Raw genomic sequence first — 20,411 nt, 5'->3', positions numbered from 1 at the left:
ACCCATCTTGGGCTCCCAAAGTGCTGGGATTACAGGCATGAGACACCGCGCCCAGCCTGGATAAGTATATTTAAAGGTATAATTTCCCTCCTGGTGTTGCTGTAGCTGTGAAACACAAATTAACATATAATTCTTACAATTTCTTAGTTTATCTTATGATTGCCTGCTGATATGTTAATTAGTTTGCAGACATATGGCATTTTTAAAGTTTTTCATTAGAAATTTCTACTTTTATTGTCTTTTAGCTAGAGGACATGCTCTGTATTATATTGATCCCTTGGAATTTATTGAGGCTTTCTTCATGGTCCAGTATAGTTTTGTAAATGTTCCTAGTGTGCTCAAAAAGAATCACTCGGCTGGGCACAGTGGCTCACGCCTGTAATCCGAGCACTTTGGGAGGCCAAGGTGGGTGGATTACCTGAGGTTGGAGTTCGAGACCAGCCTGACCAACATGACGAGACTCCATCTCTAATAAAAATACAAGAACTAGCCAGGCATGGTGGTGGGCACCTGTAGTCCCAGCTGCTCAGGAGGCTGAGACAGGAGAATTGCTTGAACCCGGGAGGCAGAGATTGCAGTGAGCCAAGATCGCACCACTGTAGTCCACCCTGGGTGACAGAGCGAGACTCAATTCAAAAAAAGAATCGCTCAAGCTTATTAATTTTATTGTTCAGATCATCTACATATCCACTTTTTAAAAATCTGTTTGATTTATTGGTTTATAAGATAATTTTTTAAAAAACTCTCCAAATACAAGTAAAAGTTGTTTATTTCTCCTTTCCCTTCTGTCAAATGTCACACTGTATGCAGTATTTGGAGGTTATGTTGCAGGGGCACATATTGTTTTATAATAATTAGATCTTTACATGTGAGTGATTTTTTCTGTATATAATGTCCATCATTGTTCTTTATGGTATTTTTTTCTTAATTTCCATTGTATTCGTTACTGGAATCACTATCTTAGCTTTCTTTTCATTCAAAGTTGCATGGAATTTCTAGCATTCTTTATTTTCAGTCTTTGGGTGCTTTTTAAGTTGTCTCTAATCAATATATTGTCTCATTGGTTTTTTAATTCTTAGATTTATCTTTTTAAATTGGTAAGCTTAACCTAATTACATTTATTGTTATTATTTCCATCTTATTTCACAGTTTCCATCAACTGTACTTTCTTTTGTTTTGTTTCATAGTTTTACATTACATCTAAGTTCCATTCTCTTTTTTTTTTTTCTTTTTTGAGATGGAGTCCCACTGTGTCACTCAGGCTAGAATGCAATGGCGCCATCTTGGCTCACTGCAACCTCCGCCTCCTGGGTTCAAGCAATTCTCCTGCCTCAGCCTCCTGGGTAGCTGGGATTACAGGCATGTGCCACCACGCCCAGCTAATTTTTGTATTTTTAGTAGAGACAGGGCTTCTTCATGTTGGCCAGGCTGGTCTCGAAACTCCTGACCTCAGGGGATCCACCCGCCTCAGCTTCCCAAAGTGCTGGGATTATGGGTGTGAGCCACTGCGCCCGGCCTAAGTTCCATGCTGAGTTAATTTTTGTATGAGGTGAGAGATATAGGTTGAGGTTCACTTTTTTGCCTATTGAGGCCCCACTGTGCCAGCACCCTTTGTTGAAAAGCCTCTCCTTCCTCCACTGAATTGCTTTGGTATCTTTGTCAAAAATCAAAAGGCTGTAGCTGTGTGGGTCTCGCTCCACAGTCTCCATTTCGCTCCATCCGTGTTTCTCTTCCTCCATGAGCACCACGTAGTCTGATGACTGTAGCTATTCAACAAGCCATGACGCTGGGTAGAGCGATTTCTCTAATTCTTTTTTCCAAAACATTCTAGTCATTTGAGGTCCTTTACGCACATACACACACATATAGTACCTTGTTTATGACCACAAAAAGACATACTGGGATTTTGATAGGAATTACATGACATCTGTAGATCAATTTTGGGAGAATGGACATTCCCGGTATTTTGTGAATTTTGTCACACAGATCTGGTACATGTTTTGCTAAATGTATATCGAAGTACTTTTTCCTTAAAGTGACAGGGGTGCTGTTGTGCTTTTAACCTGGGTTTCCACATGTTCATGTTCGTGTAGAGAAATGCAGTTGATTTATACGTGCTTCTCGCTTATTTTCATTCCTCTCCTTTGCTTTCTGTTGGGCACATCAAGTTTTCTTCTGTTGGTTTAAAAGTTGTATTTTTGTTCTTGTTTTGTTTGCCCTCAGGGCCATTTCCAGGACTTGAAATGTTTGTTTGCTTTTCTAATTTTCCCCGGTTTCCCCAGGCAGCAGGTCGGTGGATCTCCCAACACTGTCATGCCAGAGGTGCTCTAGGCCATGCAGGGTCACCATCCTGACAGCAGCCCACCCGGAAATCTTCAGCAGAGGCGAAGACTTCCAGTCCTCTGTCATTCTTTCAGTCCGTCACCTCCACTGAGACTGTGGTGGGCACTGGCCCTGTGCCATTCGGCGGGTGCTTCCAGCCCCGGGCGCGGTTTGCTCCCATTTCCAGGCAGCCCCACCTATTCCTCCCCCAGGTCAGTAAGGAGGAGAATCCCACAGGCCCCAGCTCGGGCAGATCTCTTTTCTTGTGGCCACACACAGATAACTAACTCCGTGGGTCCTGGTGTCCTCTCTGGTCTGGCCGCAGCTGTGGCCACAAATCAAGTCCTCCTTTATTTTACTGTGGACTGAGCTGTGCTGTGCTTTCTCAGATAATTGGCTTTATCCTCGTTGGCCTGGAGAGTCTTAGAACTAGAGTTTACCTGAGAAGAAAGGCCCTTAAAGACCATTTGGTCCATTTTTATTAATTTATTTTTATTTATTTATTATTATTTTAAATAGAGACAAGTTCTCCCTATGTTGCCCAGGCTGGCCTCGAACTCCTGGGCTCAAGCAATCCTCCTGCCTCAGCTTCCCAAAGCGCCAGGATTACCAGTATGAGCCATGGCACCTGGCCTAGCCCAGTCGCTTTCAACCCCAGTGAACACATTGAAATGAATTGGAGAGTTGTAAAAATATCAATGTCTGGGTCCCCACTCCCCTGGCACAATCAGTTAAATTAGCATCTCTGGGGGTGGGACTGGACATCAGTGTTTTTATTTTTATTTATTTATTTTATTTTTATTTTTATTTATTTATTTATTTTTGAGACGGAGTCTCACTCTGTCACCCAGGCTGGAGTGCAGTGGCACAATCTCGGCTCACTGCAAGCTCCGCCTCCCAGGTTCACGCCATTCTCCTGCCTCAGCCTCCCAACTAGCTGGGACTACAGGTGCCCACCACCACGCCCAGCTAATTTTTTGTATTTTTAGTAGAGACGGGGTTTCACCGTGTTAGCCAGGATGGTCTTGGTCTCCTGACCTCGTGATCCACCTACCTCAGCCTCCCAAAGTGCTGGGATTACAGGCTTGAGCCACCGCGCCCGGCCACATCAGTGTTTTTAAAAGCTCTCTGGGGCCGGGCACGGTGGCTCACACCTGTAATCCCAGGATTTTGGGAGGCAAGGCAGACTGATCATGAAGTCAGGAGTTCGAGACCAGCCTGGCCAACATGGTGAAACCCCATCTCTACTAGCACGCACCTGTAATCCCAGCTACTCAAGAGGCTGAGGCAGGAGAATCACTTGAACCCGGGAGGCGGAGGTTGCAGTGAGCTGAGATCGCACCATTGCACTCCAGCCTGGGAGACAAAGTGAGACTCCACCTCAAAAAAAAAAAAAAAAAAAAAAAAAAAAAAGGCTGTCCGGGAGATGCAAATGTGCAGCCAGGGTGTAGAACCACTGCTCTCATCCAATCCCTTCATTTTACTGATGTCCCCTGGATTAGTCAGGGTTCTCCAGAGACAGAACTAATAGGATGTATATATAGACACAGATAGATGAGAAGGGGCTTATTAAGGATTTGGCTTCTGTGATCATTGAGGCTGAGGAGTCCCATGGCAGACCTGCCAGCTGGAGAGCCCGGGAAGCCGGCCTGGCTCAGTCCAGGTCTCAAGGCCTCAGAACCAGGGAAGCTGATAGCAGGATCCTCAGTACAGGGCTAATGGCTGGAGAATCTGGAGGGCCACTGGTGTTAAGTCTCAGAGTCCAAAGGCCTGAGAACCTGGAACTGATGTCCAAGGGCAGGAGAAGGGTGTCCCAGCTCTAGGAGAGACAGATAATTCACCTGTCCTCTGCCTTTTTATTCTGTCTGGGTCCCGAGCTGATTGGATGGTGCCTGCCCACACTGAGGGCGGATCTTCCCCACATAGTCCACCGACTCAGTGGCCCATCTCCTCCAGAACATCTCACAGACACACCCAGAAATCATGCTTCGCCAGCCATCTGGGTATCCCTTCATCCAGTCAAATCGACACCTAAAATTAACCATCACACTCAGAGAGGAGAAAAAGACTTGCCTGAGGCCACACACAGAGCTAGACTAATTTTGGGCTTTAGATGAATTTTCTCAGCTTTATCTCACCACCATTTCTTTTCATCAGGTACTTCATGATTTCAAATCAGAGCATCCTTGACTTATTTCTGTCTCATTCAATTAGGCCTATCAGGCCAGGTTAAGCCAGAGCCTCTTTCTTACTGCTGTTCATGATGGTGTAACATTGTTCTTAAACAGCTTCCCCCGCGACACTGTGAGCTCATTCTGGGCTGAACCAACACTTTCTGGGTCTCTGGCTGCTTCCCTACAGAACTAATAGTGGCCTCCACACTGAGCACCGTCGAAACAGCTGTCCTCCAGGACAGTGGAGAACAGAAAAAAGCACCTGGGTTTTGGAGTCAGACCTAGATTTGAATCCTGGCTCCACCATGTAAACCTTTCAGACCCCTCAGTTTCCTCCTCTGTGATATGAGCTAAACATGTCTACCTCATAGCTGGGCTAGCTGGAAAGCTGGTCAAGCCTCACCTTCAGCATCCCCGGCTTGCACAGGCTCTTCCCAAAGCCCTGGAAAAGGCTCTAGTGGCTTCGTGGTTGTGTTTTTTATTCTTTTTCATAAACAGAGTATCCCCCTCAACACACACAGCTTTAGACCCCGCAAAACTTGGATCTGCTCCTCCCCACCCCACAGAGTTGCTCTAGGAGTTAAGATTCTATTCATAAGGCATGTGACATACAACAGGTGCTCAGTAAATGTTACTTCCCTCCAGAAGAGCCCAAAAGAGGGATGGAAGGACAGAACAGCAGGCCGGTGTGCTTGTTACATGTCCCTTTAATGTCCCATCCATTGCCATGCAAAAGCCCAGCCCTGCAGGGAGGGTCGCTAAGGTGCCCAGCTCTTCTGGGGGGCTTCCTTGTCTCTGATGTGCCCATGGATCCAGTCGAGGTAGCGGCTGACTTTGGTGTAAACGCCGTAGTTGTGAAGGAGCCCACAGCCCTCACCCCAGCTCACCAGGCCCACCAGGAACCAGGTGCCGTGGAAGGAGGCGACCATGGGCCCCCCACTGTCGCCCTCGCAGGCATCCTGCCGGTCCCCGAGGATGCCCGCACACAGCATGTTCTCAGACACCATGTTGCTCATGACCTCGCTGCACTCATTGTGCGGGACCACGGGAATCTTGATGAAGTTGAGGACGAAGGTGCGGTTTCTCTTGGCCTCCTTCTCTCGGCTGCTGTGGTAGCCCCAGCCCGTCACGAGGGTCTCCTGGCCGGCCTGATTGAGCTCGCGCTCTGCAAGGCCGCTGTCCGGGAGGCAGATGGGCACTATGGTCTGCGAGAGGGTGGCGGGCTGGGCCAGGTGCAGCAGTGCGATGTCATTGTCGGTGGTGCTCTTGCTGTAGTTGGGGTGGACGAAGACCTCCTTGATGTCCAGGTCCAGCTCCCACTTCTCCCAGCGCCGCAGGTCATACTCTCCTGCAGGGCAGAGGGCACAGTCAGAGTGGGCTGCGGGGAGCCTCTCCCCAGTGGCACTTTCCTGAGGCCCACCCACTGCTGTGCCCCTGCAGGCCTGGGCAGAGGGCCTGAAGAAGGTTCACCCGGAGACTGTGCACCCACACGTCCCAGGCACTGGCGCGGAGCCACCTGTCTATGCCGTGGAACCCTATCAACGGTGACTTTTCCTGCCAGAAGGAGTGGCCAACAGGTGTCAATCCCAAAGAGGTAGGATGCTGGTTGGTTTTCAGGAGTCACGGAGCCGTGAGACCAGAGAAGGAATGGGCAGCAGGGAAGCCCGAGACCCCTGGAAACCCCAGACACAGACCAGAGCCACAAAGGAACGTGGAGCAAAGGTAGCTGGAGAGACCCCAGGGGCAGTGAGACCCAGAGAGGAGGACCCCCAGAACACGGCACTGCCAGGGAGGACAGGGCCGGGTCCCACCTGAGAGAGAAGGTCCTCTCAGTCCAGACTGATGGTTCCCTGGGAAGAGCACCTGGGAATTCTAAGCCAAGCCCCACGGGGGGCCACTGGCCATAGATTATGCTGTAGGAAATGTGAATTTGGCCTTTCTCAATATGCTTTGCCTTCTTTTTGGCATAAAGAGTTGAGCCAGACCCCCCCTCCAGAAATTGCCATAGATCGGGGCCAATGCATAGGTGCCCCCAGCCTGCTAGGGAAGCAGCTTGTGGCTTTGGCAGATGCTAGGGCTCCCTCTGTACAGCTCCATCCCTGTCAGTCTGTGGGAGGCACAGCCCTGAGGCCAGGCCTTGCTGGTCTCTGCACCCAAGGGTGCTGAGGCCCACACAGCCTGCTCCTCATGAGTGGGAGTGGAGAGGTGAAGGTCTGTGTAGCCCCTCACAAACATGTGTGTGCAGGTACCTGTGCCCAGATTCGAAGAGGGCACCAGAGAACCCCCTACTGCAAAATACTGGGTGTACATGGGTGGGCAGGGTGGGGGCACATAGGCCTCTTCCCCCCAAACACCTTCTGTGGAGCTCAAGAAGCCTCTTGCTTAAGCACCTGGGGAGCGGGGTCCCCCAAACCTGAACAGCCTGCCTGGTCCCCCTACCCAGGCCTCTGGCAGCCCCCTTCTGCCTGGCTCCAGCCCATACCAAGCCTGACAAGGAGCTTCTTGGACTCATCCATGCAGTGGGCCGCTGTCAGCACCCAGGAGGGGTGGATGAGCACTGCCCCGCAGGCCAGCTTCTTCTTTGAGTCCAGCAGGACCACCTGGAATGGGGTGGGATGATGACATCACAGGGCTGCCTCCTGACAGCCTCCAGTCCAGGGCACCTGGGTTTCATATGCACTTTCCTGGGTTCCCTGGTCATATGGGCATAGGCTTAGGCCCTTTCTGGCGTTTTCTATTTTTGCCCATTTTACAGTGTCAGCCTGTCCCAGGGTGTCTTCCTGCCTTTGCCCATGCTGTTCCTGCACTGTTCATACTGTTTCAGTCACCCTCAGCCACACCCAACATCGCCCAGCGAGCTCCTCTCATCCTTAGAGGCTTGGCCAGGCCTTGTGTCTTCCAGGAAGACTTTGTGGCCCCCAGGCTGCCTGGATGTTCCCCTTGGGCCTCCCTCAGCCCCTATCTTGAAGGGCCGTCCTGGCTGTGGTCCCACTGGGCTGCCGGGTCTTTGGGGTCCTGACCCTTGCAGAGTCTGAGTCCCCAGGGCAAATACTCCCACTTGTTGGTTCCTATCTCCCCCATGCCTGGCAGAGAGGGGAACCCAGTAAGTGTCAGTTCCCATGTGGAGGCTGGAGGGGTACTCAGGCCCGGCCCTCCCTCCTAGCCCTCTCCCATCAGCAGGGCTTCTGCCTAAAATCCCGCCAGCAGAGCAGTGTCTTTCCAGCTCTTTTTAGAAACTGTAACCCTCCCTCCTGCAGACCCCTCCATGCCCCCATGCCCCTCCCCTCACCCACCCTGGCTGCTCCTCTCCCCTCAGGTTGCGTCCATCTTTCCCTGAAGCATCCCCCACCTTCATCATCCCCCAAACGCAATGGCAGCGCTTCCCTCTCGGTTTCTGCACCCTGAGCATAGCTGCCAGGATGGACTCAGTGATCCCGGACCCAGCACGTGAGCAGCCGGTGCTGCCTCGCCTCCCACCTGCCAGGGGCTGTCTCCCCGCCTGGTCATCTTCCCATCAATGAGCCGCGGATCTACTTGGTCTTCTTGGTCTTCTGTGTCTCGTTTCAGGTGACTGCGCTTCTTCTCCATCCGCTTCCAGGGCCTCCCACAAGGGAACTTCACTGAGGTAGGCAGAGGTGGTGAGGGGCCTGCCAGGCACTCCTCCCGAGACTGCCCTCCTGTCTTGGTCCTCCTCCAGCCTGTGGGCCACTTTGCCACAGTGCAGGGTTCAAGGAACCAATGATACTTAGACCACTCCATTAATATTAGCTATGAACCCCCTCCAGTCAGCCAGTCAGTCAGTCAGTCAGTCAACAAACAGTGCCACTGAATGGTAAGAGTCAGACCAGGCAGCATCACCCACTGGCTGTGTGTCCTTACATAGGTTGTTAAACTTCTTGAAGGCTCATTGTACCCCAGGGCTGTTGGGGGTAATCCCTGAGATACAAATTACAAACCCCCTCCAGTCAGTCAGTCAGTCAGTCAACAAACAGTACCACCCAATGGCAAGAGTCAGGCCAGGCAGCATCGCCCACTGCCTGTGTCTCCTTACATAGGTGGTTAAACTTCTTAAAAGCTCATTGTACCCCAGGGCTGTTGGGGGTGATCCCTGGGATTAGTAAGGTCTCATAATGGGATGCTGCTGAGCTCCTCACAGAGGAAAGGAATTACAGGGAGAAGGAGGTGAGCATTCTTGGAGAGCTCCTACAATAGGCATGGCATGTTTGTGAGGCCTCCCTGCCAAGAAGAGAGCGCATACTCCATGGAGAACTGAGGGCTGAAAGGTCGGCCCGACTCTGCTCAAAATGGGCCTTGAATGCCCAGTCCAGATATCTAGACTTAAAAGAGCAATGGGACGTCGTCAGCAGGGGAGCTGCATCATAACAAAAGAATGGAAAGGGCACAACAGCAACAATTCCAGAAGCTGACAGCAGATGGATGGACACAGTAACTGACTTGGCAGACTGGAAAGCAAAAATCTCAGCCCGTGATGGGGGCGCCCAGAAGCTGAAGGACTGGACCACGGAACCATAGGAGGCTGTGGGGCTTCCAGGAAGGCAGTGCAGGTGGGAGGGCATGTTGAGAGTTTGTAAGAGAAACTGCGAAAGCCCTCCTCACTGACTTGACTCCCCTCTCCCTGCCTGCAGAAGGTGAACCAGAGGCTCTGACTAGGGACTTCAGGCCCCGCTTCAGGAAGGAGTGGTGCTCTTAGCTGACCACAGGGAGTCATGCAAATGTCCACAGCCTGCACAGGCACCAGCTCCCCTGCCCCACCCTGCTCTGAGGGGCCGAACACCATGGGTGAGCGTCTTCCATCCTCCAAGAGCTTGGAGGAGTCCTCTTAGAAAGCAGCCTAAAAGGAAAGCCCTCACGATCTGGGGTTCTGCCAATGACAGGGCCTTCCCAAGGCCTTGCAGGAAACCCACAGGCCAACAGGCCCACCAGGCATTTCTTTGCAGCTTCCTGGAAATATCTAATTATTTCAAAATAAAAAGTTAAATTTTTAGATCTTTTTTTACTTTTTTTAAAAATAGAGACAGGGTCTCACTGTGTTGCCCAGGCTAGTCTCAAACTCCCAAGCTCAAGCAATCCTCCCACCTCAGCCTCTCAAAGTGCTGGAATTATTGGTCTGAGCTACTGAGCCTGGCCAAAAATTTTTTTCTGCAGAAGAATTGAATTATAAAGTTGTAGAAAGTTCCCTGAAAGAGGCTGGGCGCGGTGGCTCACGCCTGTAATCCCAGCACTTTAGGAGGCCAAGGCAGGTGGATCACCTGAGGTCAGGAGTTCAAGACCAGCTTGACCAACACGGAGAAACCCCTTCTCTACTAAAAACACAAAATTAGCTGGGCGTGGTGGCGCATGCCTGTAATCCCAGCTACTCGGGAGGCTGCGGCAGGAGAATCGCTTGAATCCAGGAGGCGGAGGTTGTGGTGAGCTGAGATCACGTCATTGCACTCCAGCCTGGGACAACAAGAGTGAAACTCCATCTCAAAAAAAAAGAAAAAAAAGAAAGTTCCCTGAAAGAAAACACAAAGTCAAAGAGATGGGAAATAGAAGAGACAATAAAACTAGAGGAAAGAGGTCTGAATAATGGGAGGTCCAGAAAGAGAAAATAGAGGAAGTAAAGGGGAGATTGTAGAAGAAATAAGTGATAAATGTCCCTAGAGGCAGAAGATAGGAATTTCCACATTAAAAGGGTCCACCTTTTAATGAAAATGAATGAAAAAAGGACCCATGCCAAGGAACAGCATGCTGAAATGTAAAAGTTGTAAAACTCTGATTTTTAAAGTTTCATACATATATAAATTTGATTAAAATGCATAAAAAGGAAAATATAGAAGAAGGCAGAATCGGGATTCTGTTCTCTCCTCAAGGAAGCAAGGGGGTAAAGAGGGAAATGCGATGCACGCCGGACAACGTCAGAGAAAAACGCAGCCAGGCTACATGGAGGAGGACGCTGCACGCCTCGCCCCAGATACGCTCAGACTGGGGAGCGGAGCCACCACTGGGCTTGCGCTCCAGGAGGTGGCCCCAGGTGCGCAGGGGGCGCCCGGAGGAAGGCGGGGACGCCAGGAAGAAAGGAAGCAGGGAAAGCGGAGGGCGCGCCCAGCTCCCGGGCTGATTGCGCTAACAGTGGCCCCGGTGTTGGGGCGCGTCTGCCGCTGCCCCAAGGCTCAACTCTGTTCCTCGCTCCCTCCCTAGAAACCCTCCTGAGCCCCCCGCGCCGCGCCCCGTCAGGGGGCCTGCCCACCCTGCACCCAGCGTGATTCCTGGGCGATGTATTGGGGGCTTCTCACCTGCGGGGTGACACTGCAGGAGGTCGTCCCCCAGCTTGTAGCCAGGCGCACAGCTACAGCGCCGCCAGCCCACCTCCTCTAGGCAGTAATGCGTGCAGCCGCCGTTGTCCAGCGAGCAATTGAGGAAGCTCACCTCTGCGGGCAGGGGAGGGCGCGGGCAGCTGGTGCTGGTGCCGCGCCCCCAACCCGGCCCCAGCCCCGCCCCGCCGCCCGCCAGCATCCACCTCTCCCCCTCACCGCGCTGGCAGAAGCGGCCCTCCCAGCCGCTGCGGCAGTCGCAGCTGAAGCTGCCGATGCCGTCGATGCACGTGCCGTGCCCGCAGCACAGGCTGGCGCACGGGTGCTCCAAGGGCAAGACCAAGCACTGGTCACCGTCTGCGACACAAGGCGGGGTAGGGGGTCAGCGGCCAGAGATCCCGAGGGGCGCGGGCGCCGGTAGTCCAGCCGGGGATCTAGAACGCACTCACCGACGTGCTTGGACCAGAAGGCCAGCTGCGGAGAGAGCGGGCAGCGTCAGGCTCCTGCAGCCGGTGTGCGGAGGGGGCGCGCCCGGGTGGGGCAGGGCAGCGGGTGAGCGGGCAGGGGAGGGGAGGGCTTCCAGACAAACAGGGATCGACGCCCGATGGTCGTTGGCTGCTAGGAGCTGGTGCTCCCTGCCCCTCCCCCGCCCTCCAGCGCCACCCGCCCGCGCCCAGCCTCCATCCCACGTCCCTGGAGCAACACCCTCTCCCCATGCAGCTGCAGTGCTGCTCTCGCGACTGTCTGCTCCCACAGCAGCCTCTGGCATGCAAGGGACCCGAATCCCTCACCAAGTCACTCGGCCTCCTTCCAGTCCCATCACTCCCTCTGCCTGCGGGCTTTGGGGGACCCCTGAGCATCGCGCCTTTCCCTAAGCCAGTGTTTTTCAGAGTTGGGAGGATGGGGGCAGAGGGTCTGCGTTCCTAACCAGGTACCAGGGTTGCTGCTGCGGCGGCTGCTGCTGGTCCAGGACCACCCAGCCCACGTTGAGACCCACGGCCTGTGCCTGATGCCTGCTCCATCAGAGAGGCCAGCCAAGGCCTGCTGGGGCTGAGAGACCATGGGTGAGGTGGGAGCACGGTGGGGACTTGATGTGATCAGATATGTGCCTGCAGAAAGTCACTGTGGCGTCTGCCAGGGAGGCCACTGGGGAAAGAGGTGGTGGGGATGGAGGTCCAGATGGGGGTCCAGTCAAGGAGGTGGAGGCTGAGGGCAAGAGAGGGTGCAGGCCAGAGGGTCTCCTGCCCTGAAAGCCTCCACTGGAAAGCATCCCTGGATGCCTTGGAAGGGGGCCCAGGCCGTGCACAATTTTCAGGTCCTAGTGGCTGAAGCGATCCCCAGGGACAGAGCGGGTCTGAGCCTTGTCTCAGGAAGCCAGCCCCGTTACCAAGCTCACCCTACTACCTAGGGCCACGTCCACAGGACTCTGGGGGCTCCAAAGGACTCTGACCCTTAGACAAATAGGACACAGACCCTGTCTTCCGACCCCCTGAACAATCAGATTTTCTCCCTTTGATGTGAGGCACAGAGTGAGCGATTTTATGTGGACAGAAGTGAGTTTCGGTCACACACACACCCTGATCAGCAGAGGCATGGGTGGAAGCAGGGTGGTCTTTAGGTCCCCTCTTTGTGAGGTGGGACGGGGAGGCAGTGGTGCTCAGCAGTGGCTGGAGGGTGGACTGAACCACCTACACTGTGGCTGGTGGGAGTCCCCACCTAGGGTCACCCCACACTCTTTCCTGGAGCTTCTTCCTGAATTCTGTTTCTTGCAGTCACATGTGCCTGGCCGACATCATAGGGCCAGCATCCTAATCGCTCCACTCAGCCACCCCCACAACTCCTAAGAGGGCCTCAGCATTGAGTCCCCACCTGCTCCTCGAGGCCCCTGCTGGTTACCAGCTCGCCCCTGAGCCTCATCCTCTGGACCCATGGTGGCCTTACTGTGTCATCCACATTTTGGAAAATTTCCTTGGCCTCCTCGAAGTCACAGATCTCCTCTATGCACTCCCGCTCCAGGCTGCTGTGACGGAGCTCCTCCAGGAAGGAGTTGGCACGTTTGCGGATCCGCAGCACCTGGTGGGCACGCTCGCTGCTGGAGAACACTGAGTCTGGTTTTGGAGGGAGGGGGAGCTCACCTTGGTGGAGGGGCCTAAGAGGGGCTGGGGCCATGAGGGGGTCTGAGGAAGCAGAGCTGGGAGAGCCTGGGAAGGTCTTGTCTCCGCCCCCTCAAGACTCATTCTAATTCTAGGTCATGGCTTGGCGCAGGGGTCCTCTGCTCTTTTCCTCCCCAGGAAGCAGATGGCAGTTGGAGGACGAAGCCTTGCTCTGAGATGGACAGGCCTCCCTGTGAACCCCACCCCGATCTCTGTGTGACCTTGAGCCAGTGTCTTTACCTTTCTAAGGTTCAATTTACTCATCCAAAAACATGGGGATGAGACCGTCATGTAAAACATCCAATACAGTCCCTGGCCCAGAGATAAGTACTCAAGCCCTGGCTGCTGCTGTAAAGGCTGCCAAGTTAAATCCTCTCACTCTTCTGCCAGTACACCACGTGCAGCCCCATCTTGACACATCCCCCCAGTCTTCCTCTCCTCCCCCAACCAAGTATTCCCCATGCTTCTCCCCTTGGGCAGGGACACCTGGAGGATAGACAGACCTATCACCCAGGAAGGGTCCCCAGGTGTCTCCTGGGCTCTGTGAAGTGTCTGTCTTGGGTGCAGGGCACAGTTAGGAGGGAGAGATCAAGTTGGGGGTGTGAGCAAGAAGGGATGGGGGAAAAGGCATCCTAGAGGAGGGTATGCCTGAGCTGAGGGCACCTTGGGAAAGGGTGGAGGTGCAGGTCCCAAGCAGATAAACAGCTCTATAAAGGCACAAATGAAACCAACAGCCTGGTGTGGCTTTAGGGGCCCATGTGTCCTGCGGACCTCCCCAAGAATCATGGCCTCCTCCCGTTGGCTGTGGAGACCAGGAAAGGGGTTGGGGCAGGGCAGCCATGAGGCCAGTGTGCATTTGAGTAGGGGAGGCTGTGCTGGATAGTGTGGACGGTAGCCTGGGCCTGGGGTCTTCACAGTTGAGGGAGTGAGTGGGTGGAGAGGGAAGGCCCAGGGGACTCTGTGACCATCCCCGTGTGGAGGAGGGAGCTTTAGGAGGTCATCGCGGGGCTCCCTGCCATCACGCATGCCTGCCCTGGCAGCCCCTGTGTGGCACTCTGGCAGCTGGCCTACCTGGGACTTGTCAGTTGATTCCTGCCATTCCCATCTGCCCCTCACCTCACCCAGGGCTCAGAGAGATGGTGGAAGCTGTGAAGGCCTGGGCAGATGCCCACCAGGGCCTTGTAGAGGCCACAAGGGTCCCGGGGTAGGGGTGGGGTGGCCTTACCAAGAGGAGCTGGTGTGCCGGAAATTCCCCAGGTGGCCACGAACAGCAGGAGGCTTGTGAGCTGCCACATTCTGGAGGCACTGGCACCTGTCTGAGGAGGACTTCTGAGCTCCGGGCAGTGCCTACCCCCGCTGCTGCTCTGCCTGCACCCCCAGGTGGAAGCGGAATGAAAGGGCTGTCCCTGTGTGCTGGCCGTCAGGGCGGAAGCTGGGATTGAGGGTCCTTGTTCGCTAGAGACATAGCCTCAGAAGGCCTCGGCTGCCCGCTCTACGTGGGGCTGAGCTCACACTGCCTGCCTAGAAAGCAGCTCCAGAATGCAGTGGAGAGGGTGCCAGGATGTTTGTGTCCTCCCTGGGGACAGTGGGGTGGCTGCCTCTGCCGGTCTGATGACTGGGCTGAGAATATTAGCTAACGTTGATTGGACACTCATGGTGTCTTTCAAACAATTTTTACAGGATTCACAGGGCAGGCCATGAAGCCAGACTGCACGGTGCAAATTCCAGCTCCAGCACTTACTGGAGGGCAATGTTGGGCAAGATGCTTAACTGCTCCATGCCTCAGTTTCCTCATTTGTAAAATGGATGGAATAACGTGGTGTATCTGTGCCTTAAAGGGTGTTGTGAGAATTAAAGGAGTTAGTCCACATAAAGCTCTCAAAACAGGCTTTGCACATAGCTCATGCTCAGTAAACATGAGATATTATGACTTCAGTTAAGGCTCACAACCACCCAAGAGGTAGTTATTAATGCTGTCAACCCCATTTCATAGAGGGGGAAACTGAGACTCGGAGGAGTTAAGTGGTTTATTAAAAATCCAACCCTTGCTGGTCTCCGTTGATTGCACAGGGAAGTCACCAACCCAGGGGATCGATCAGATTCTGTCCCCCATCCTCCAGGAGTAGGGTCTCACACCATCAGTACACTGCAGGCACCAGACTCGGAAGACTGAGGCAAGGTCCTGGGTCTCCATGTTTACATCCATGCATTACTCGCAGAGCCAGGACTCAAGGCCAGGCCTGTGTGGTTTTAGGCCTGGAAATTCAACCCCTGCCCCAAACCACCAGGTGCTCCAAAAGGCCACAGAGATAGCCCTGGTGGCCAGAGATCAAGGAACCCTCCCCAGTGGATAGGCCACGTGGCCCTCTGCACACCCTACCGGACCCTGCTCTCCATTCTTGCCGACTCCCTCTGAGGCCACTTCTGAGATTTGTTCAAATCCGACACCCCCAAAGGTGGAAGTGGGGTGGGGAGAATGGAGGGTCCTGGGCTCCAAACTGTCTGTTGGAATGGCCCTGGGCCCTGGGGACCCTTGGCCTGGAAAGAGGGAGGCGCATGGCAAAGGGACCTGAGACTGTGGCTGCCAGGCCTGGCCTGTGGAGGGCCTTGTGTCCTTTCACCCCAAGCTCAGGCTTGTTGAGCACCCTGGCTGGAGGATTCAGCCCTCATCACCACCTAGCTCTCTTCTCCCGGGGGCAGCCCTCCCTCCACACCCCTCATAGACCTGCCTGGAGGGGGACTCACAGGGGCGGGTCGTGGAGATACTGCAAGTTCGCCGTCCTGCCGCCATGACAGCCTGGAGTTCGAGTTAATCCATAACCACAAATATTTGCTTGGCCCTCAGCACTGAGGCCTCCCTCTCCATAGACAAACAGTGGCACTAGCACTCCTGGTCCTAGCTCAGCACGGCTTGTTCTGCCCGAAGCCCACCTCTGCCCACCAAGGATGCCGTCCAGCAGGGAGGGAGGTGAGGGCAAAACCCTTGACAGATGTGGTCTCATTTTAGCCCCATAGTGGCTGGCTGAGGGAGGAACGTTGTCCCTGTTTTTCAGATGGGGACATTTTTGCCCAGAGATATTATAGTTTGCCCAAGATCAGCACAACAGGTAATATTCCATATTTCGTCAAATCTAAAATACCATTAATTATAAGACACATGTATTTATGTGCCACCATACAAGAAAAAAGACGCTGTCCCAATGACATGCCATCCCAATTTCTGATACATAAAATCATGAGAAGATGCTCCTTTTTGGGTCCCCAGTGCATAGGTGCTGGGCACTGGGCTCCACCCTCACCTCCAATTGCTCACAAATCACCCCCAATCCCCACCCCCAACACACACACACAATGGCACATAGCATCCCTCTAACCTCTATTTTTCAGGTAAGGACACTCAAGTTTTGTGTTACTCGCCCAGATTCACTGAGCTGGTAGTTGGCAGATTTAATTTGAACTCAGGTCTTGCTGCTTCCATTTGGCCCCTTTTGTGGACCAGTAAGAAAAATGAACGGGATTCCAGAAAGGCTGCAGCAATTTCCTGGCCGGGGTGCCAGAAGGGAGAAGGGCAGAAATAAAGGGTCCAGCTCAGCACCTTTGCCTGTGTCCTGCAGTCTATCAGCATTTATTAAGCGTCTTCCTGCTCCGAACCGGGCTGCACCAGAGATGCCCCCCTTTCCTCCCTGCCCTACCTGTTCCTGGGAAGACTTGCCCACGTTCCTTCTCCAAGTCTGCACCTCTAAACGGGGCATGTGACCCTGCCTCGCTGGCTTCCATTGATTGCACAGGGAAGTCACCAACCCAGGGGATTGATCAGAGGAGTAGGGTCTCACACTGTCAGTACACCATAAGTACCAGACTCGGAAGATTGAGGCCAGGTCCTGGGCATCCATGTTTACGCTTAAAGCAGAGGAAGCTGATGAGAAGGAAGATGCAGGTGTGCAGAGGGGGACTGAGGCCACGGACACCTAGAGAGTCCCAGGGAGCAGCGGAAGGAGGCCCCTGCCTCCTTATGATTGGTGGCACATCCTGGCTTCGGGTGCAGGAGGGTCCCCATGCCCTCCTAAAACCCTATTCCTCCTGAAGTTTCTTTAAATTGGCTGGAACAGCTTGTGTTGATTGTAACCAGATGCCTCCTGCTGAGGCACCACACCATGCTGGGCTGTGGTGGTACCAGGCCCTCCTAGAGGAACAGGGTAAAACTCTAACACTCTAACAAGTCAGGCCCACCTTGCCCAGGGGCAGGTACACATAGGAAATGCTTACAGAATTCAGAGGAGAGGGCAATCAGTACAAGCTGGCATAGCCAGGGGAGGCTGCCTGTAGGAGGTGACACTTCAGCTGGACATCAAAGAGCAGACAGGAGGAAAGACATCCCCCCCAACCCCACCCCAGGTTGGGAGACAGTGGGGAGACACAGAACACAAGCAGTCAGGAGGTGCTAGGAGGGGTGGAGGTGGAGAGGAGGTGGAGGGTGAGGCAATGGATTTTGAAATCGAGACTATGAGAAGTGGAGAACCAGGAGCTGTTTGTGACAGGCTGTGGCAGCTGCCTAGAAAAGCAGAGACAAGCTTCTGGGAACTCAGACAGGAAGCATGAAGACCCCATGCACAACCACAGAAGGCACCAGCTTGTATGTCCCTGTTTGCTTCAGGCGTCGCCCCCGCAAGTCTGCAGAGATCACTGCCCTCTGCTTTGCCTTCCAGGTGCAAGATGTTGTGGGTATTCTTTTGGCGCCGCTTCCCTTCCCCACCAACTTCTCGCCCTCTACTCCTCCCCACCCCAGCACAGGCAGCCGCTCCAGGGCAAGTCTATGCAGGCTCCACACACTGATTCTGACCTGCATAAATGGACTCTGCCCGGGGCACCCATGTCCAAACCAGCCCAGGTGCCCAAAGCACCGGCACCGGTACGAGCCAGGGCGGCTGCAATGCTCCCAAGTGCCCAGTGCTGGGGGTTGGGGGTGCCACGGCTTGGCAGGCTGCCCAGAGGGCGGAAGGGTCCTCTGCAGAGCTCTGCACGCCTGTCGGCCGACGGGGACTCTGCACGGCGGGCTGCGTCACGGCCGCCTCATCGGCTGGCAGCGCAGGAAACCCCGTCACCTTCTCGAGGTAGGGACAGTCCTGCCGCCAGCCGTTCCTGCGATCCCAGGGTCTCTGCAGTTACACCTGGTTCCAGCCGGGGGCGCCGCGCCGCACCGCTCCTGCGGAGGAGCCAGGCGCCCTTCACAGGCGCGGCCTCACCCGCTTTACTTGTCAGGTGTGAGTCGCCCCACGTGCACCCGAACGCGGTCAGGTCCACCCAGGAAGCCGGAGCAGGACTTTGGGCAGCGAGCTCGCTGTGAGTTAGAGAGCAGAGGGACACCTGTGGCTAAGGAATTCGCTGCATGGATGAAGACCCAAGCAAAGGAGCTAGAACCAAATGTGTGTGGGGCAAGGCCAGCCACAACTACCGGAGCAGGCGGGGTTCCAAAGCCCTCAGCTCTGGAGTCACGTTCCCACGGCCTTAAACCTCCGCTAGCCTTTTTCTGACAGGGGGATTTAACTTCCCTGTGTCTCAATGTCCACATTTGTAAAATGGGGTCAGCGTCCGTCTCAGGTGACTGTTATAAGGGTCACGTTAAATCTTTTATTAATTTTTTAATTAAAAAAGTTTTGAAACAGGGTCTCTCTGGCTCTGTCACCCAGGCTGGAGTGCAGTGGCGGGATCACAGCTCTCTGCGGCCTAGATCTCCTGGGCTCAAGCGATTCTTCTGTTTCAGCCACCTCAGTAGCTGGGATCACAGGCCCGTGCCACCACGCCCAGCTGATTTTTAAAAATTTTTAGGAGAGAGGAGGTCTTGCTGTGTTGCTCTAGAACTCCTGACCTCAAGTGATCCTCCCTCCTCAGCCTGCCAAAGTGCTGAGATTACAGGCGGGAGCCACTGTGCCTGGCCTTATTTTTAAGTATTTTATACAAAGTGGACATGGCCTGGGACTTAACAGGACTTCCCACAGGCCTGGGAAGGTCAGGGAGGGGCCGACTAGGAGGGGAAGGGGTCAAGGACAGCTGCTGCTGTGTGGAAGCTCAGACTGCACAGATCCGTTGTACAGATTAGGGCTGATCATTCAGTCAGCCCTAACCTGTACAACACTCCCCACCCCTTGCGTTTTGGCCCTGGCTCTGCCAATAGATGCCAGAAACCCAACTTGAGCTCACTCTGCTGAACAGTGATGAGAGATGGGCTGGTGGTCAGGGCTGACGGGACTAAGGTTCCTTCTCACCCCATGCCACTCCCCTGTGTGGGCATTGCCCATTCTCCATTCTCTCTGCAGGGACGCTGTGCTGCTCAGCCCACCCCAGGCAGGGCAGGGAGGACAGACACTAGAGAGGCTCCCGGGAGCTCCCTGGTAAGAAGTGGAGTGGGATGGATGCAGTCCAACGTCTCTCTCTTTTGTTGTTGTCAGGTTATTGTGGTATAATTTACACACAGGGAAACTCACACTTTAAAAATGTACAGTTCTGCTTGTTTTGACAAATGTATGTTATAGTGCATCCACCACCACATCATGATATACACATTTTCATCACCCTCAGAAATTCTGTGTTCCACCCCAACTCTTGGCAACCACTGATTGGATTTCTATCTCTATAATCTGCATTTTCTAGAATAGCATATAAAGGGAATCCTACAGCACATATATATATTTTTTTGAGTTGGTGTCTTGCTCTCTTGCCCAGGCTGGAGTGCAGTGGTGTGATCTCAGCTCGCTGCAATCTCCACCTCCTGGGTTCAAGTGATTCTCCTGCCTCAGCCTCCTGAGTAGCTGGAATTACAGGCACACGCCACCACACCTGCCTAATTTTTGTATTTTTTAGTTTCACCATGTTGGCCAGGCTAGTCTTGAATTCCTGACCGCAAGTGATCCGCCCACCTCAGCCTCCCAAAGTGCTGGGATTATAGGCGTGAGCCACCGTGCCCAACCAGTACATAGCTTTTTAAGACTACCTTCTTTCACTCAGCATAAAGCTTTTGAGATTTATTCATGTGGAATTCTATATCAGTACTTTATTTCTTTTTATTGCTGACTGGGCTCCATTATATAGATGTGCCACAATCTGTTATCCATTTGCCAGTTCTTGGCTATCATTAAATTAAGCTGCTAGAACATTTATGTATAGGTCCTTGTGTGGGCATATGTTTTCATTTCTCTTGGGTAATATCTAGGAATAAGATTGCTGAGTCATGTGGTGAGTACGTGTTTACTTTTGGGAAAAAAAAATAAAGTCAAACTTTTCCAGAGTGGTGGTGGCATTTTGCATTCCCACCAAGCAATGTCTGAGTGTTCCTGTTGCTCTGCATCCTCACCAGCATTTGGTGTTGTCGGTTGTTTTTTAATTTTAATTTTCAATTTTTAGCCTTCTTAATAGATGTGTAGTGGTATCTCATTGTAGCTTTAATTTTCATT

The 20,411-nt window shown here is 53.4% G+C and overlaps 1 protein-coding gene, 1 long non-coding RNA gene and 1 other non-coding gene across 19 annotated transcripts, besides 4 other annotated features; 2 read left to right on the top strand and 1 right to left on the bottom strand.

Annotated features, from left to right (window-relative positions):
* The first annotated feature begins 1,494 nt into the window (after positions 1 to 1,494).
* Positions 1,495 to 9,501, top strand: LOC105373608 (uncharacterized). The gene is made up of 2 exons (XR_007087228.1): positions 1,495 to 2,534; positions 5,937 to 9,501. It is a non-coding gene; the product is annotated as an uncharacterized LOC105373608 (long non-coding RNA).
* PROC (protein C, inactivator of coagulation factors Va and VIIIa) lies at positions 4,959 to 15,774 on the bottom strand. Of its 17 annotated transcripts, none has more exons than NM_001375611.1 (9): positions 15,689 to 15,774; positions 14,189 to 14,275; positions 12,752 to 12,918; positions 11,260 to 11,284; positions 11,030 to 11,167; positions 10,793 to 10,927; positions 7,974 to 8,116; positions 6,979 to 7,096; positions 4,959 to 5,844 (listed from the first exon to the last, which is right to left on the bottom strand). In NM_001375611.1, exons 2-9 carry the CDS (start codon positions 14,256 to 14,258, stop codon positions 5,255 to 5,257), a joined length of 1,386 nt encoding a protein of 461 aa, NP_001362540.1. In that variant the 5' UTR covers positions 14,259 to 14,275; positions 15,689 to 15,774; the 3' UTR covers positions 4,959 to 5,254. The 17 variants fall into 17 exon arrangements, with proteins under 17 accessions (NP_001362540.1, NP_001362531.1, NP_000303.1 ...); NM_001375602.1 differs by having other exon boundaries at positions 14,189 to 14,395; positions 15,709 to 15,774; NM_000312.4 differs by having other exon boundaries at positions 14,189 to 14,279; positions 15,709 to 15,774.
* Positions 10,120 to 10,916: an enhancer, noted in NCBI's record as "H3K4me1 hESC enhancer chr2:128180861-128181657 (GRCh37/hg19 assembly coordinates)". NCBI's record gives its function as "activates a minimal SCP1, AML or CMV promoter by ChIP-STARR-seq in naive H9 embryonic stem cells {active_cell/tissue: H9 hESC(naive)}" and the evidence as "EXISTENCE:reporter gene assay evidence [ECO:0000049][PMID:30033119]".
* Positions 10,583 to 10,664, top strand: MIR4783 (microRNA 4783). The gene has a single exon (NR_039944.1). It is a non-coding gene; the product is annotated as a microRNA 4783 (primary transcript).
* Positions 10,917 to 11,715: an enhancer, noted in NCBI's record as "H3K4me1 hESC enhancer chr2:128180062-128180860 (GRCh37/hg19 assembly coordinates)". NCBI's record gives its function as "activates a minimal SCP1, AML or CMV promoter by ChIP-STARR-seq in primed H9 embryonic stem cells {active_cell/tissue: H9 hESC(primed)}" and the evidence as "EXISTENCE:reporter gene assay evidence [ECO:0000049][PMID:30033119]".
* Positions 17,611 to 17,670: an enhancer, noted in NCBI's record as "active region_16488". NCBI's record gives its function as "activates an Ori minimal core promoter by ATAC-STARR-seq in GM12878 lymphoblastoid cells {active_cell/tissue: GM12878}" and the evidence as "EXISTENCE:reporter gene assay evidence [ECO:0000049][PMID:35858748]".
* Positions 18,051 to 18,813: an enhancer, noted in NCBI's record as "H3K4me1 hESC enhancer chr2:128172964-128173726 (GRCh37/hg19 assembly coordinates)". NCBI's record gives its function as "activates a minimal SCP1, AML or CMV promoter by ChIP-STARR-seq in naive H9 embryonic stem cells {active_cell/tissue: H9 hESC(naive)}" and the evidence as "EXISTENCE:reporter gene assay evidence [ECO:0000049][PMID:30033119]".

Source organism: Homo sapiens, chromosome 2 (genome assembly GCF_000001405.40).
Source record: "Homo sapiens chromosome 2, GRCh38.p14 Primary Assembly".
NCBI lineage: Eukaryota > Metazoa > Chordata > Mammalia > Primates > Hominidae > Homo > Homo sapiens.
This window is presented reverse-complemented; position numbering and strand designations above follow the sequence as displayed.

What these genes read in the sequence shown, in the direction of transcription:
- PROC (XM_024453003.2), bottom strand. Translation starts at nt 15,754, where the DNA reads ATGGCGGCAGGACGGCGAACTTGCAGTATCTCCACGACCCGCCCCT. An exon ending in CCTGCAGTGTCACCCCGCAG is followed by an intron (nt 8,117 to 10,792) that starts GTGAGAAGCCCC and finishes TGCCTACCTCAG; the next exon opens with TGAAGTTCCCTTGTGGGAGG. An exon ending in GAAGCTCCTTGTCAGGCTTG is followed by an intron (nt 5,845 to 6,978) that starts GTATGGGCTGGA and finishes TCTGCCCTGCAG; the next exon opens with GAGAGTATGACCTGCGGCGC.